A 16,334-nucleotide genomic window follows, 5' to 3' on the forward strand; every position below is an offset into this window, starting at 1 on the left:
AGGACTGGGGCAGGGAAGGGTGGAGAGGAGATTTCACTGTTATTTCATATCCTTCTGCATTTTTGTTTGCTTGCATAACAAAACATCTATTGCCTTTCTACTTTTTTAAAAAAGCAACTTTTTTTTTTGGAAAGGAAGAACTAGTGAGGCTCCTTAACAATACTATGAGTCAGGATTTTTCTGCTCCTTCTTCCTCTGTCCCTGGTCTGTGGCTCCTGTCATGGCCTCTCCTCCTGTGGCGGGAGGTTGGGCAGTCCCCATCCTCTAGGCAGTCTAGGCATGGCCAGGCTTATGCAGTTGTTCAGGGGACATGCCCTCCCCCATTAGTTTCTTTTGTGGCTCCTCTCCTGGTTATCTTATGGAGATTACATCAGGGATATTTTTTTCCTTATTGGCTTTACGTAGATTGAATTTACATACAGCAAAATTCACTTTGAACTGAACAGTTTGATGAGTTTGACACATGTTCACAATTGCATAACTATCCCCACAATCATCAAAAGAACTTTTCTATTATTTAAAAAAGCCCTTGCCCTGCTCCCTACCTGGTCAGTCTCCCTCCCTGCCCAATGCCCATTGCTCCGCCACTCACCGCTCTAGGTTTCCCTTGGTTCTGGAGCCCTATGGAAATAAGATCGTGCAGTGTGTGGCCTTTGGTGTGTGGCTGCTTTCACGTAGCACCATGCCTTGAGACCTCACCATGCTGTTGTGAGTGTGAGCAGCCCACTCCTTTTCCATGGCTGAGGGGTGGCCCGTGGTTCCTTGCCATGTGTTTATCATACACCAACCATGGGCATTTGGGTTGTGGCCAGTTTGTCTATCATGACTGCCTCTGCTATGAGCATCTGCTTACAAATCTTTGTGTGAACATAGGTTTCACTTTTTTGGGTAAACATCTAGGAGCAGAATTGCTGGGTCACATGGTAGTATGTTCCCACCAGCTGAGTGCAGGGCTCCAGTCACTCTGTGTCCTGCCTCACTTGGTATCCTCAGCTTTTTGGGTTTTGGCAATTCTCATTGTGGTTTTCATGTATATTTCCCTAATGACTAGTGATTCTGAGCATCACTTCATGTGCTTATTTGCCATCTGTATATCTTTTTTGTTTAAGTGTTGGCTCAAAATTTTGCATATGCTTTTTTTGGGTTGTTCATCTTCTTATTACTGAGTGTAAGAGTTTGTTACATAGTCTAGATATGATTCCCTGGCAGATACATATTTTTTCAAATCCTTTCTCCCAACCTGTGGCTTGCTTTTTCCTTAACAGTGTTTTTTAAACAGGAAGAGCCTTTAATTTGTATGAAGTTCAGTTTTCACTTTTTTCTTTTATGGTTTGAGCTTTTTGAATCTTATTTGTTTAATCCAATATCATGGAGATTTTCTTATATATTTATTTCTATGAGTGTTATGGTTTAGTCCTAGCACTTAGCTATATGATATATTTTGAGTTAATTTTATGTATGGTGTGATGTGGGGGTTTTGGGGATTTGGTGGGGTTTATTTATTTATTTATTTATTTAGGTATTTTGTAGCTTTTGCATATGGTTACAGTTCCAGTATTATTTGTTGAAAAGACTATTATTCTTTTTCCATTAAATTGCCAGGTCTTGATTTTTATATAGTCTTTTTGATTTTTTAATCTAAGGCACTGTACAATATGTGGAACCTCTTACATAAATGTTAATACATGAACTTTTGTTCTTTCTGTTGTTCTAGAATACTTGTAATGCCATATTCTTGTAAGTACTTATGTTGTCTTGGAGGCATCCATGCTGGTGAATGGGAGGGTTTCTGTGTAGGGTAGACAGGGAGAGCCTCCTATTTGTTGTGGTCCAAGTGGAAACCATTCTGGCAGCAATGGCTCAGGGCTGCCATGCCATGTAACTGTTCTGAGCCCACAGCATGTGGACTGCCTGCAGACATGGGAAGGACATCGCAGTTCACTGCAGTAGTCCACTATGTTCCGGGCGCCTAGTTGAACCCTCCCAACCGCAATATGAGATGAGAATGGCTATCCCATTTTGCAGATGAAACATGTGAGGCCCAGAGAGGATGGCTAACTGTACAACAGTGAATAAGCTGCAGAGAGTGGAGCTGAGCCCATTTTCTTTCTATTTCCTCTACCAGTAATTTTCACATTTCTTGCTATATTAGTAATATTTCAGAACCACTGTCACTTATATTTGGCAAACAAAGAGGACCAGGGCTGGCCTAGAAGGGCCAGGAAGAAGTAGGCCTCTGAGACCTGGGCTGCAGACACCCTGAAGAGCAGGGTCCGTGTCTCAGAGCAGCAGGGCCACACTGCTCACATTGGGGGCTCTCCAATGGTTTTATGGCAGCTGAGTCTGCATGGGAATAGTGAGCATCATCATCCAGGGGTGAGGATTAAATAAGGTAAAATGCCAGGCATGTGGTCGCTACTAAGTTATTGTTAGTCTGCCCAGCTGGATCACCAGGCTGGGGAAGGGAGGGGAACTAGTTCCTGCGAGGTTCAGTGAAAGAGGAATCTTAGGTCCCAGGCACCTGCAGTGAAAGCGTAAATGCTAGTTCCTGGTCCCCTAATGCTAGCAGAATAGTAACATTCCCCTTGCAGCGCACTCCCTGTCTGTCAGTGGATGTGGCTTTGTTTTTTAACCAACAGCGCACACAGTAAAATGTACGTGCCCTCACCTCCCATGAAACAAAGGACAAGCAGCATGTGGATAAGTGAACAGCCAGTCCCGGAAAGGCTGGAGCTGTTGGCTGCAGCTCTGGAAATGTTAGCGCCTCCTGGGAGACGCATGGTGGGCCTGTGGATTCTGGGGTCTTGAGAGAGAATCCATGCAACTGTGGCAGGCCCTGTGCTTCCGCGGAGCTGAGAGGATTCGTAGGTGCTTCCCATGCGCAGTCTAGTCTGCCAGCGGTGAGCACTGCCCTATCAACACCAAGGACTGGCTTCCGGGGGTAATGTGGGGCCTGGCGGGACACCAGGGCCAACCTGGAGCAGCGTGAGGGCCACAAGCCCTGAGGCAGAAGGCGTGGGTTTGAGTTCTGACCACTTCAGTTTGTGAGTTTGAAACTAAAAGAGGAAAGGATCCGGTATTTGTTGAGTGCCCACTACTTGCCGGCATTTTACTCCTGCTGTTTGGTTGAACTCATAGAGACACATAAAATACCGTGTGCTCTCTTCCATCTCAAGATGAGGAAGCTGAGGTTCAGGCAGGTCAGGTCCCTGACTCACAGACACACGGCTGGGTGGCGACTCTTCCAGAAAAGTCTTTTCATTTTTCTAAAATACCATGTTGCTACTGATTCAGCACTGGGGGTGAGGGTAATACACAAAGCAATTGGGAAGATCAAAAGAGGTAATGAACGTGAAGGCTGCAGATTGGCAAATACCGGGCGACAGAAACTATTTTAGCTGCATTTGCTTTTTAGGTTTAAGCAACAAAACAAACCTTCATATAACACATGGTGAGTGTGCCAGAAGAAATTTACAAGTACAGGCAGAATACAGGGTTATGCATGTGTGTGCTGAGATTAATATTTAAATTTGTAAATAGGGAAATGCATTTTCTTTTATATGTAGAGCAGTTGTTTCATGTTATCCACATTTCCTCCCTGTGCCTTGAGCACAAAGATGCCCCCAGGCTAGAGCCCTCTCTGGGCAGGAGCACGACAGACCTGAATCTATCCAGAGTGTGAGGGTGGGATGGTTGCAGCCAACCTTGTGCAGCTGGCTGACAATGTGCCGGGCACCGCTGCGTTCACAGGCACCATTTCAAATCCTGCACTCAGGCCTGGTGGTGAAGAAGCGGGGAGCCTTCCACAGGGAGTATCAGGGTAAGCGGTTATGTCGCTTCTCCAGGTCAGTGTGCCCCTATGGAGATGCGATTGGACGCTGCATCTTTCTTCATGTCCCTAGTGCCAAGCACAGGGCCTGGCATGGAGCAGAGACTCAGCATGAGGCAGTGAACGAGTAAATTTTACAGTGTAGAAAGGAGTACATCATAGTGGATCTGGACTGAGAGGGCTTCCTGAGGCAGCAGCACTGCTAGGTTGCCCAGAGGATGAGAGAGAAAGGAAGGCCTGGGTTCCCAGGGGCCATGAAGTGCTCTGGGCAGACACACATTCAGGGTCCTCTGAGCAGCCAGGATGCACCTGTGAGGAGAAGGCAGTGGGTGCGAACACAACAATGACAGGCAGATGAGAAGGCAGACTAAGCCCACACATTTCTCAGGACTAAGCCAGAGTCACAAGCACTGGAAAGGAAGGCCCTGCAGCTCACACACTCGCACAGCTGATGGAGCCAGTGACAGACAGATTGTAGTCTCTGTGGGCAGCATTTGACGGCCTGGCTGCAGTGCACCAGGGGTTCAGTTTGATAGGGGGCCCCAGGAAGATCCCCAGCCCACTCCCAAACACACGCATGCAGCTCATATTCCCAGCTTCTTGCCCGAGCGTGGAATTCTCTATTGTAGCATCAGTTGTGCATGTAGCCCCTCCAGCTCACAGCCAGCAAGGAAGCATCAGCCCTTTGACACCTGGGAATCCCTGGCTTCTGCCACATCTCACTGCCTTCCTCTTCTGCTTCTAAGCATGTGATTACATCCAGCCCAGCCAGGGTACTCTCTTTATTTTAAGGTCAACCGATTAGTAACCTTAATTGCATTTGCAGTTTTCTTTGCTTCATAACATAACATATTCATGGGCATGATACCAGGAGGGTGAAGGTTATGGAGGCCAAAATTCTGCCCACCTCAGTGCCCGTGCCTTCAAGGATCATGGGGGAATGATAATTGATCACAGGCAATTATAACCCAGCCTAATGAATGCCGCAGAAGAGTGAACACACAGCACTGTGCAGCACTCAGGAGGCCTCCCTCGCTGAAGCCAGGGCAGTTCCCTGGAGGAAGAATATCTAAGTTGAGCCTGAAATGATGAGCAGGACTGGGAAGGGGGATGGCCCGGGCAGGAGGGACAGCATGTGTGTCTGCTGTGCAGTGGTTCAATACTCTTGACCTGTGGACTTCAGGGAGCCAGAGGGACAAAGCACACTGGAAGGCAGACGGGAGAGCCGCCAAAGACTCTAAGCAGGTGAGAGGGAGCCTTTGGGAAGCTCATCTGATGGTGCTCTGGGGATGGAGAGGACTGTGGCTAGAGGAGGCTGGCACACTGCTTAGGAGGTGGAAGAGGGTGATGGCTTGAAACGCAGAAGCAGCAGTGGGACAGAGAGGTGAGTGTGATTTGATTGGAATCCAAGGGGGTGGGAGGGCGATGGGTTACAAGGGAGACCCAAGGGCTTGGCTTGGATGACTGTTCACAGAGACTGGAGGACTGAGCAGTGGAGAAGCTTAGGTTTGCAGATGTATGATCATGTAGGTGGCTTTAGCTTTTCATATGCTGCATTTTAATTTTCATTCAATTCTGTGTATTTTTAAAACTTTCCTTGAGACTTCCTCTTTGAACTATGGAAAATATGTTATTTAATTTCCAACTGTTAGAGCATTTTCTTGTTGTTTTTCTGTTGTTGATTTCCTGTTTGATTCTAATACAATCAGAGAACATACTCTGTATGATATCAATTGTGTTAAATTTGTTGAGGTTTGTTTTGTGACCCAGGAGGTTTATTTCGGTGAATGTTTCATGGACATTAAAAAAAATGTATATTCTGCTGATGTTGAGTGGGCTGTTCTATAAATGTCAATTAGATCCACTTAGATTACGTTATTTAGTTGTTCTTTATTTTTGCTAATAATCTGTCTAGTAGTCCTATCTATTGCTGATAGTCCTCAACTATAACCGTGGGTTTTTCTATTTCTTTTTTGAGCTCCATCCATTTTTGTTTTATGTAGTTTGAAGGTCTTGTTTGGTGTATACATATTTTAAGGTTGTTAGATCTTAAATTATTGGCTTGTCCTTAAGGTCACTGATTCTGTCTTCTATGCCCTCCATTCTGCTGTCAAATCCATTCATTCAGTTTTGTTTCCATCACCATACTTTTCAGTTCTATGATTTGTATTTGCTTCCTTTTTATAATGTCTTTTTTGAAGCTTTATCTTTTTTCATTTGTTTCAAGGATATTGATAATTACTTATTGAAGCAGTTTTCTGGTGGCTGCTTCAAAATCTTTGTTGGGTTGTTCTGTCTGGTTCTTCTCAGTGTTGGGATCAATGGATTGTTTTCTCTCATTCAGGTTGTGATTTTGATGATTCTGGTTGTGACGAGTGATTTTTAATTATAGTGTAGACATTCTGGATCTTATGTTAAAAGACTCTTGACCCTATTTAGATCTTCTATTGTAGCAAGCATTTGCCCTATTTAGATTTAGCATATAGCTCTAGCCTATTTTGTTGGCTACAGTTCTAGTGACAGTTTAGTTTTCTGAGCATTTGCAATGCTATCCTGGTTGGCTTCTCGCTTCTGCTTGGGCCTTCTTTTGATCTCTGTTGGTGATGTCAGCAGGTCAGCAGGGAATCCTGACCCACAGGATAGAGAGCACTTTCCCTGGCCTGTTCTCCAAGTACCCAGTGCTGGTGGGCTTCCCACTCTGTCTCTGCCTCTGCCACTGCCACTGGGGGAGAGAAGCAGCTGTCTTGGCCACCTTCTGCCCCTGGAAAGGGCCTGGAGCTGCAGAGTCTGGGTGGAGACTTCTCCACTGTTGGGTGGAGGATTGGGAGACCCTAGCTGCAGGCTGATTTCTGCTGCTGGGTGGAGGGCCAGGAGACACACAGGCTGCTGACATAGCCTGAGCCTGGCAGGTGGGCGTTGGCTTGCCTGAGTTGTACTCTGAGCAGATCACCCTGCTGGGCTGGTGTGGCCTCCCTGGGATCTGTTGTTGTCGCTGACCAGGCCACTGCTGCCATTGGGTGTGCATAGCCCTTGTTGGGCTTTCCTCTTGCTGGAACTTTGGCCAAAGAGAGTCTGTTTGGCATCCATTCGTCATAGGGCCAAATTAATGGCCAATGTTGTTCACATCTCCCCTGCGATCCAGAGCCCATATTCTTTTTTTTTTTTTTGAGACAGAGTTTCGCTCTTGTTGCCCAGGCTGGAGTGCAATCACGCAGTCTCAGCTCACTGCAACCTCTGCCTCCCGGGTTCAAGTGATTCTCTTGCCTTAGCCTCCCAAGCAGCTGGGACTACAGGCGCCTGCCACCACACCCGGCTAATTTTTGTATTTTTAGTAGAGATGGGGTTTCGCCATGTTGGCCAGGCTGGTCACGTACTCCTGACCTCAGGTGATCTGCCTGCCCCGGCCTCCCAAAGTGCTGAGATTACAGGCCTGAGCCACCGTGCCCGGCCTGAGTCCGTGTTCTGAAAGAACCTCCTTAAACTCTCACACACAAAGCCAACGGTCTCCCTGTCCTAAATCAGCCCAGGGCCAGATACCAGACAACAAGGACAGCCCTTATGCCTCAAAGCCCACCAGAGTTATTCATGCCAGCTGGTTTTAAGTGGTTTACCCTGCCTTCCTTGTCTTTTCACTCAGAAACCCCAAGAATGGTTCTGGACTCGGTTTCCCCTCTGCCTCCAGAGCAACACCGGTGCTTCTTCATGTGGTCTCATGCGGCCTGGTGTGTCCCTTCTCTTGGAAATTTTAAGTAATAAAAATCCTTTCAATGGCATTAGCCTCTCCATTTTGTCACTTAGTCACCTCTATAAATTAAAATTCTGTGGGTACAAATGAAACAGAGAGCAAGCTTTTAACCCTCCCTCCCTCCCTCTCTCCTTCCCTCCCTCCTTCCTTTCTGTCTCTTGACAGAACTGCGGGTTCTCTGGTTCCCAGGCCAGGATACAAGGGAAGTAAAAAGAAAGCCCAAAGCTGGGCACTTTGGGAGGCGAAGGTGGGCAGATCACTTGAGGTCAGGAGCTTGAGAACAGCCTGGCTAACATGGTAAAACCCTGTCTCTACTAAAAATACAAAAATTAGTTGGGCATGGTGGCAGGTGCCTGTAATCCCAGCTACTCGGGAGGCTGTGGTGGGAGAATCGCTTGAACCTGGGAGGCGGAGGTTGCAGTGAGCCGAGATAGCGCCACTGCACTCCAGCCTGAGCGACAGAGCGAGACTCCATCTCAAAAATGAAAGGAAAGAAAAGAAGAAAAGAGAAGAAAAAAGGAAAAGAAAAGAAAAGAGAACCAAGCATGTTGTAGTTGGTAGCACGCAAGCCCTGCATATGTAATCCTCTCGGCACATTATGTTGACATTTTCCCAGCGTGAGTGCATGCAGAGGCCTCCGTCCTGTCGGGTCCGTACCATCCTTCAGTTATCGTTTATTTGCCCTAAATACTTCCTCTACATATTTTGAGAACTACATCTGACATTCTTATAATTTCTGCTTCAATTTCTAAAACCCAAGAAGAGATGGAAAACCTGTTATCCTGGGATAGCCCCACAGGGGCTCTGTTTTTTTGTTCTTTTTTCAGTGTCTTATCTCTGGTGCCCAGATTGTGTAATTTCCATTGTTCCATTTTCAAGTTCTCTGATTCCGTCCTCTGCCTTTTCTATATTGCTTTAGAACTCATTCATCGAGGTTTTTTTATTTGTTATTATAGTTTGCAGTTATAAAATTTCCCTCTGCTGTTCTTTATATCTTCTGCTTATTTTTTTTTTTGAGTCTTTCCGTTTCTTCATTTAGAATTTTTATGGTGCCTGTTTTGAAATCCTTGTCAGATAATGCTAACATCTCTGCTGGTTTTGTTTTGTTTTGTTTTTTCCTGTTTATCTTGACTTTTTTTTTTCTTTTTTCTTTTTTTTTTCCCCAAGACAGAGTCTCGCTGTCACCAGGCTAGAGTGCAGTGGCGTGATCTCGGCTTACTGAAACCTCTCCCTCCCGGGGTTCAAGTGATTCTCCTGCCTCAGCCTCCCGCATAGCTGGGATTACAGGCACGTGCCACCACACCCAGCTAATTTTTGTATTTTTAGTAGAGATGGGGTTTCACCATGTTGGCCATGATGGTCTCGATCTCTTGACCTCATGATCCACCAATCTTGGCCTCCCAAAGTGATGGGATTACAGGCGTGAGCCACCGCACCTGACTGACATTTTTTTAAGATCCAAGCTGTACATGTACAGGTTGGTTACATGTTGCATGACGCTGAGGTTTGGGCTTCTACTGATTCTCTTGCCCAAGTAGTGAACATGGTACCCAATAGGTAGTTTTCAACCCTTGCTCCTCTCCCCCAAATGTTTATTATTCTCGTGATTGTGCCTGTGTGTACCTAGTGTTTAGCTCCCACTTACAAGTGAGAACATGGAATATTCAGTTTTCTGTTTCTGCATTAATTCACTTAGGATGGTGGCCTCTAGCTCCATCCATTTACACAAAGGATTTGATTTTGTTCTTTTTTATGGCTGCATAGTTCTCCATGGCATATATGTACCACATTTTCTTTATCCAGCCCACCACTGATGGGCACCTAAGTTGATTCCATGTCTTTGCTATTGTGAATAGCACTACATAGAAGTGCAGGTGTCTCTTTGATATAATGATTTCTTTTCCTTTGGGTAGATAACCTGTAGTGAGATAGTTGGGTCAAATGGTGGTTCTATTTTTAGTTGTTTGAGAAATCTCCAAACTGCTCTCCACAGGGGCTGTGCTTATTTGCATTCCCACCACAGTGTGTAAGAGCTCCCTTTTCTCCACAGCCCCACCAGCAAGTGTTATTCCTGGCTTCTTTAGGAACAGCCATCCTGACTGGTGCATCTCTCTGCTGTCTTGGTGTTGGCCTCTGTTGATTGCCTTGTCCCATCCAAATAGAGATTTTTCTGCTTCTTGATATGAGGAGTAATTTTTTATTTATTCTGCACAGTTTGGGTGTTATATTATGGGCCTTGGGACCTTATTTAAGTATTGGGACTTAGTGGGCCTCTTCTGACCCTGCTCTGGGGGGAGGGGAGCACAGCCTCATTACTGCCAGGTTTGGCTAGAAGTGCAGTTCCCCACTGATGAAATAGAAGTTGCCACCTGAAGAGAAAAAAGACTCCATCCATTTGATATAACAGCTAGGAATATTGACAGTCAGGATCCAAACATTGAGATTCTTCTGTATGTCAGAACTTGCACCTAAACATTGTACGGACTACAAAGAAGTGATTGCCATGGCCCCTTCTGGAGCTGGTGGTTTGTTGGAATTCCTGACAGAATGACCTATGATTTACATGTATATAAAAGGAAGCCCAACTTTTTTGCAAATATTTTTAAATTATGAAGATAATTTAACTGTTTTATGTGGCAATTAGAGGAGAGGAACAATTTTCACTATAAAAAAAAAACACTGGCCAGGCTTGGTGGCTCATGCCTGTAATCCCAGCACTTTGTGGGGCCAAGGTGGGTGCATCACTTGAAGCCAAGAATTTGAGACCAGCCTGGCCAACATGGCGAAACCCTGTCTCTACTAAAAATACAAACATTAGCCAGGCGTGGTGGCACTTGCCTGTAATCCCAGCTATTGGGGAGGCTGAGGCACGAGAATCGCTTGAACATCGGAGGCAGAGGTTGCAGTGAGCTAAGATCAGGCCACTGCACTCCAGCCTAGGCGACAGAGTGAGACTCTGTCTCAGACAAACAAACAAATAAAAAGTATTATTTATTTTTTTTTATTTCAATGTTTTTTAATATTGCTGTAAATGCTCTTTAATTATAGAATACACAAAATTATCGCACATTCTCTATTTTCTTTTCTAAGTAGCCCTTATAAATTAAGTTTTTAATGGCTGTTTAATTTTCCATTTTGTGTATATAGCTTAATTTGCTGAATCATTTTCCGAGTGTTGAGCACAAGTCATTTATCCTTTTTTTTTCTTGCAAAGAACACTTCAATGAACATGTCACATTGCTGAATCTTTCCTTAAGTTAGAATCTCTCAAGTGAAATTACGTAGTCAGTGTATGACCTTTTAATGACTCTTTATCATAATTTAGCATTCATTAGTACATCTTCCCTACAGGAACTCTTACTGTGGAGTTCTCATGGTGATTCTCTATTTCCCCCAGTTTTTCAGTATTTTATTAACTGGAATTCTTCTGTAAGGAAGAGTTTTCTTTTCTCCCCCATTTTGCATTTAAAGCAGCCCCCCCAACTTATCCACCATTTTATTTTCTGCAGTTTCAGTCACCCAAGGTCAACCCTGGTCCTAAAACAGATGAGTATAATACAGTTCGATATTTTGAGAGGGAGAGAAAGAGACCACAGTCACATAATTGTTATCACAGTATATTGTTATAATTACTCTTTTTATCACTAGTTATTTTATTAATCTCTTACTGTACCTAATTTATAAATTAAACTTTATCATAGGTATATATGTATGTACAGGAAATATCATAGTGTATATAGGGTTCAATACTATCTGCAGTTTCAGGCACTCACTGGGGGTCTTGGAATGTATCCCCCACAGATAAGGGGGAACTACTGTATCCAGTCACTTATTTGTATCAGTATGGGTTTATGGACAATTACTTTATTCTTTGGATTATAATCCAGTCCTACGGTTATTTATGCTGTTACCCAGACTGTTCCCTTACTAGCTGTCAAGAGCTCTTTTCAGTTGGCTTCTGTGCCCTTCAGGAGCTCCCATCCTTATTTTTAATTCTTGAGCAATTCCATATTTTTTGGCACCACAATGTGCTCCAGGTTCACCTTCTATTTGCCCTTGCCCAGTCCTGGCATCAACCACTTCTTCAAGAAGAACCTGGCTTCTTGTATTATAGAATGGTATTTAGAAACCAAGATTTGGGTTTGAAGTGTGTTCATAGCCACTGTGGTGACACTGATTTTAGCTCTCCCAGCAGACAGGGCAGATAAACATACGTTGTATATATTAACCCATATATACACACATATTTATGTTGTTTCATTATCTGCCTATTGATCTGTGTGTGTGAAAGCATTTGTGCATGGATTAGTATACAAATATAAAAATGTACGTACTTTTAAGTGTAAGTTACCTGATATCTGATATCTCCAACTCCAACCCAGCACCACAGGATTCATTCTAGCCTTAAGCTTTTGTTTGTAACTTCTTTTTCTGATGGTAAGAAACCTGGTTCTCATTATCCACAAGGTATTTAGAGACCAGCCTGGCCAACATGGCGAACCAGCCCTCGTATACATGTAAAATAGTTTCAGATTGCTAACCCATAACTCTGTGAGAAATGTTGCAACTAAAGTACAGCGTTCAAAGTTCTTTTTGTCTTTAGCCTCTCAGTATCCAGTCGACACGTCATTCTCTAAAGTTCCTTAGGTCAGCTCCTTTATTTCCTACCCCTGTCAGCATGGCTATATCATTAATTTGGAGTGCAGCTAGAGTCATTTGTCAGTCTATAGTCCATCTTGGGTTTCCCCAATGTTCTGGTGTGGGTGTGGGTATGGGTGGGTTTAATTTGTATAGAGTAAAATGTACTCCTGGTGGTATGTAGTTTGGTAGATTTTGGCAAATTTATATCACAGAGCGGTTCGATCACTTAAAAATTTCCCTCGTGTTGCCCTTTAGTAGTAAAATCATTCTCTAGTCCCCAGTCCCCAGCCCTTGGAAACCCTTGATCTGTTTACCATCCCTGTAGCTTTGCCTTTTCCAAAATGCCGTATAAATGGATCATACAATATGCAGTCTTTTGAGTTTGGCTTCTTTCACTTAGCAAAATGCACTTATGGTCCTTCCAAGTTACTGTGTAATTGATAGTTTGTCCCTTTTTTTTTTTTTTTTTTTTTTGAGACAGAGTCTCGCTCTGGAGACTGGAGGCTGGAGTGCAGTGGCACGATCTGGGCTCACTGCAAGCTCCGCCTCCTGGGTTCACGCCATTCTCCTGCCTCAGCCTCCTGAGTAGCTGGGACTACAGGCGCCTGCCACCATGCTCAACTAATATTTTTTTGTATTTTTTAGTAGAGACGGGTTTCACCATGTTAGCCAGGATGGTCTCGATCTCCTGACCTCGTGATCCGCCCACCTCAGCGTCCCAAAGTGCTGGGATTACAGGCATGAGCCACCATGCCCAGTCAGTTTGTCCCTTTTTATTGCTGAGTTGTATTATTGTATGGATATGGATGCATGGTTAATTTGTTTATCCATTCAACTGCTGAAGGACATCTGGGTTGTTTTCTGATTGTGGAGATTATGACTGGTATGTTCTAGCTATAAAATTTTGTATATTGAGTCCAGGTGCGGTGGCCCACGCCTGTAATCCCAGCACTTTGGGAGGCCAAGGCAGGCAGATCACGAAGTCAGGAGATCGAGACGATCCTGGCTAATAACATGGTGAAACCCCATCTCTACTAAACGTACAAAAAATTAGCCAGGCGTGGTGGCATGCACCTATAGTCCCAGCTACTCGGGAGGCTGAGGCAGGAGAATTGCTTGAAACTGGGAGGGCGGAGGTTGCAGTGAGCCGAGATCACACCACTGCACTCCAGCCTGGGAGACAAAGCAAGACTCTGTCTCAAAAAAAAAAAAAAATTTACATACTGGCTTTCGTGTGAGTATAATTTTTCCATTCACTTTGGTAAGTATCTAAAAGTGGATTTGCTTGGTCATATGTTTAGTTTTATGATAAACTTCCTATCCATGAGCATGGAATGTTTTTCCATTTGTTTGTGTCATCTCTGATTTTTTTCAGCAGTATTTTGTAATTCTCACTGTAGAGATCTTTTGGCTCCCAGGTTAGCTGTATTCCTAGATATTATATTCTTTTTGTGGTGTTTTGAAAGGGATCACATTATTGACTTGACTCTCAGTTTAGACATTGTCAGTGTATAGAAATGCTACTGGTTTTTCTACATTGATTTTGCATCCTGAAACTTTGCTGAAGTTGTTTATCAGTTCTAAGAGCCTTTGGGCAGAGACTGTGGGATTTTTCTAGGCATAAGAACCATGTCTTCTGGCCAGGCGTGGTGGCTCACGCCTGTAATCCCAGCACTTTGGGAGGCCGAGGCGGGTGGATCACGAGGTCAGGAGTTCAAGACCAGCCTGGCCAACATAGTGAAACCTTGTCTCTACTAGAAATATGAAAAATTAGCTGGGCATGGTGGCGGGAGCCTGTCATCCCAGCTACTTGGGAGGCTGAGGCAGGAGAATCACTTGAACCCGGGAGGTGGACGTTGGAGTGAGCTGAGATTGCGCCATTGCACTCCAGCCCAGGCGACAGTGCGAGCTCCATCTAAAAAAATAGTAATAATAAAATTTAAAAAAAAAAGTTTTACTCTTTAAAAGGCCTTGGTAATAAAATGAAAAGGCAAGCCACAGACTGGAAGAAACTGTTTGGAAAACATATATCTGACAAAAGACTTATATATAAGGTATACAAAGAATCCTTACAACTCAATAGTAAGAACACAATCCAGTTTTTAAACATGGGCAAAAGACTTGAAGACACGTCACCAGAAAAGATGTACAGATGGAAAAAACATGAGAAGATGCTCAACATCATATGCCCTGAGGGAAACACAAATCCAGATTGCAAGGAGATACCGCTTCACAGACACTGGGAGGATTAACATGAACAAGGCTGGTGGTACCAGGTGCTGGGGAGGTTGTGGAGCAGCAGGACCTCATACATTGTGGGGAGTGAGGAAGGGAATGGAGAGCAGGTTCTTGAGCAGTTGAACGCATGCCCCTACCCTGTGTATCTGATACAGCGTCATCCCACTCCTCGGTATTTATCCAGGACAAATGAAAGCACATGTCCATATAAAGACCTGTACATGGATGTTCACTGCAGCTTTATGTGAGAAGCCGGAAACTGGGAACAACCCAAATGTCCATCAGCAGGTGAATAGATAACAAATTGCCTTATAGCTGCACTGTGGAACACGGGTCAGCAATAGAAGGAATGAATTCCTGTCACATGCAACAAAACATGGGTGCATTTCAAAATAATCATGCTAAGTGGGAAAGACCAGATAAAAAGAAGACATACCGCATGGTTCCATTTATATGAAATTCTAGAAAAGGCAAAAAGCAGATAAAGGTTGCCTGGGGAAGGAGAGGGTGTTGAGGGAGGAGTGAGGAGAGGCAGAAGGGAAAGAGATCAACGGTCATCATATTGATGGTGGTCATGGTTTCACAGATGTGTGTCAAAACTTTGACTGTACACTTGAAATATGTGTGGCTTTTTTATGACAATTATACATCAATAAAGTTGTAAAAAAAAAAAGTAAATAGCAGTAATACAAAGAAAATAAAACAAAGACCCTTGCATTTGGCAGTGTCACAGGCGCCTCTGCTGGCTGATTCAGGGCTGGGCGGGGTGGCAGCCAGACCCTGGGAGCAGTGTCCAGAACTTCTGATTCCAGAATCACGGCCCACTACACATTTCCCGAAAAGCTCCTCATAACAAAAGCTAAACCTAGAAGTAAAACATATCATCCTAAACAATCTTTAGTTGAGTTCACACACACAAAAGAAATTCCCAGGACAAAAAAAGAAGGAAGAGTTCAAAAAGTATGGAATTCAGTGGGAGGTAGAACCCCAGAGAGAGCAGTGATCACAGAAACACTCATGAGCCACACGCTGGTTAAAAGTGACTGAAAGCAGGGCCTGTCTGGGGGTGGGGTTAGGGGAGGGATAGCATTAGGAGAAATACCTAATGTAGGTGACGGGTTGATGGGTGCAGCAAACCACCATGGTACGTAATTACCTATGTAACAAACCTGCACATTCTGCACATGTACCCCAGAACTTAAGGTATAATAATAAAAAAAAGTGCCTGAAAGATTCAATTTGGAAAGTCCAGCTATATGTTGGTTATGAAAAGCACACCTAAAGAACATTGAAAGATTGAAAATAAAAGGATGGAAAAAATACATGGTTGGCAAATACTAACCAAAAGAATGCTGGTGTGGGTATATTAATATCAGAGGATGGCCTTTAAAGGAAAAGTCTTTCTTAGGGATAAGAAAGTAAAAAAGCCTTTATTACCACTGGTAATAAAGGAGCCACTCATAGGAAGATGTAACAGTTCTGAACTTGTTTATGCACCTGCTCACATAAGGCTGAACTGTAACAGAATTAAAAGAGGAAACTGACAAATCCACTAGGACAGTGGGAGGTTTCCACATGCTTCTCCTAATCACAGAGGAAAAACTAGTAAGACTTCCGAGGATTTAAACAGTCAACAAGGCTGATCTAATGAGCCCTTGTTAACACTGCACCGACCCATTAGAGAATGCACTATCCTTTCAAACGCCCATGGGACATCTCCAAAGTAGGACCTTGTACTATGTCATAAAGCCAGTTTCAACTAACTTCAAAAAATCAGTATCACACAGATGACTCTTTGATGACAGTGTCATTAAATAGAAATCAGAAACAGATAACTAACACATACTTCTAATAAGTCACAGGTCAAAAAGGAAATTATAA

At 44.0% G+C, this 16,334-nt stretch overlaps 1 protein-coding gene across 4 annotated transcripts in view, besides 1 other annotated feature; it reads left to right on the forward strand.

Annotated features, from left to right (window-relative positions):
• ARHGEF4 (Rho guanine nucleotide exchange factor 4) overlaps nt 1-16,334 on the forward strand; it is a 210,340-nt gene that overhangs the window by 57,628 nt on the left and 136,378 nt on the right. The gene's annotated exons all lie outside the window — the stretch shown is intronic.
• Nucleotides 2,710-3,308: an enhancer, noted in NCBI's record as "H3K27ac-H3K4me1 hESC enhancer chr2:131654824-131655422 (GRCh37/hg19 assembly coordinates)". NCBI's record gives its function as "activates a minimal SCP1, AML or CMV promoter by ChIP-STARR-seq in primed H9 embryonic stem cells {active_cell/tissue: H9 hESC(primed)}" and the evidence as "EXISTENCE:reporter gene assay evidence [ECO:0000049][PMID:30033119]".

This window comes from Homo sapiens, chromosome 2, assembly GCF_000001405.40.
Source record: "Homo sapiens chromosome 2, GRCh38.p14 Primary Assembly".
In the NCBI taxonomy this organism is placed as follows: Eukaryota; Metazoa; Chordata; class Mammalia; order Primates; family Hominidae; genus Homo; species Homo sapiens.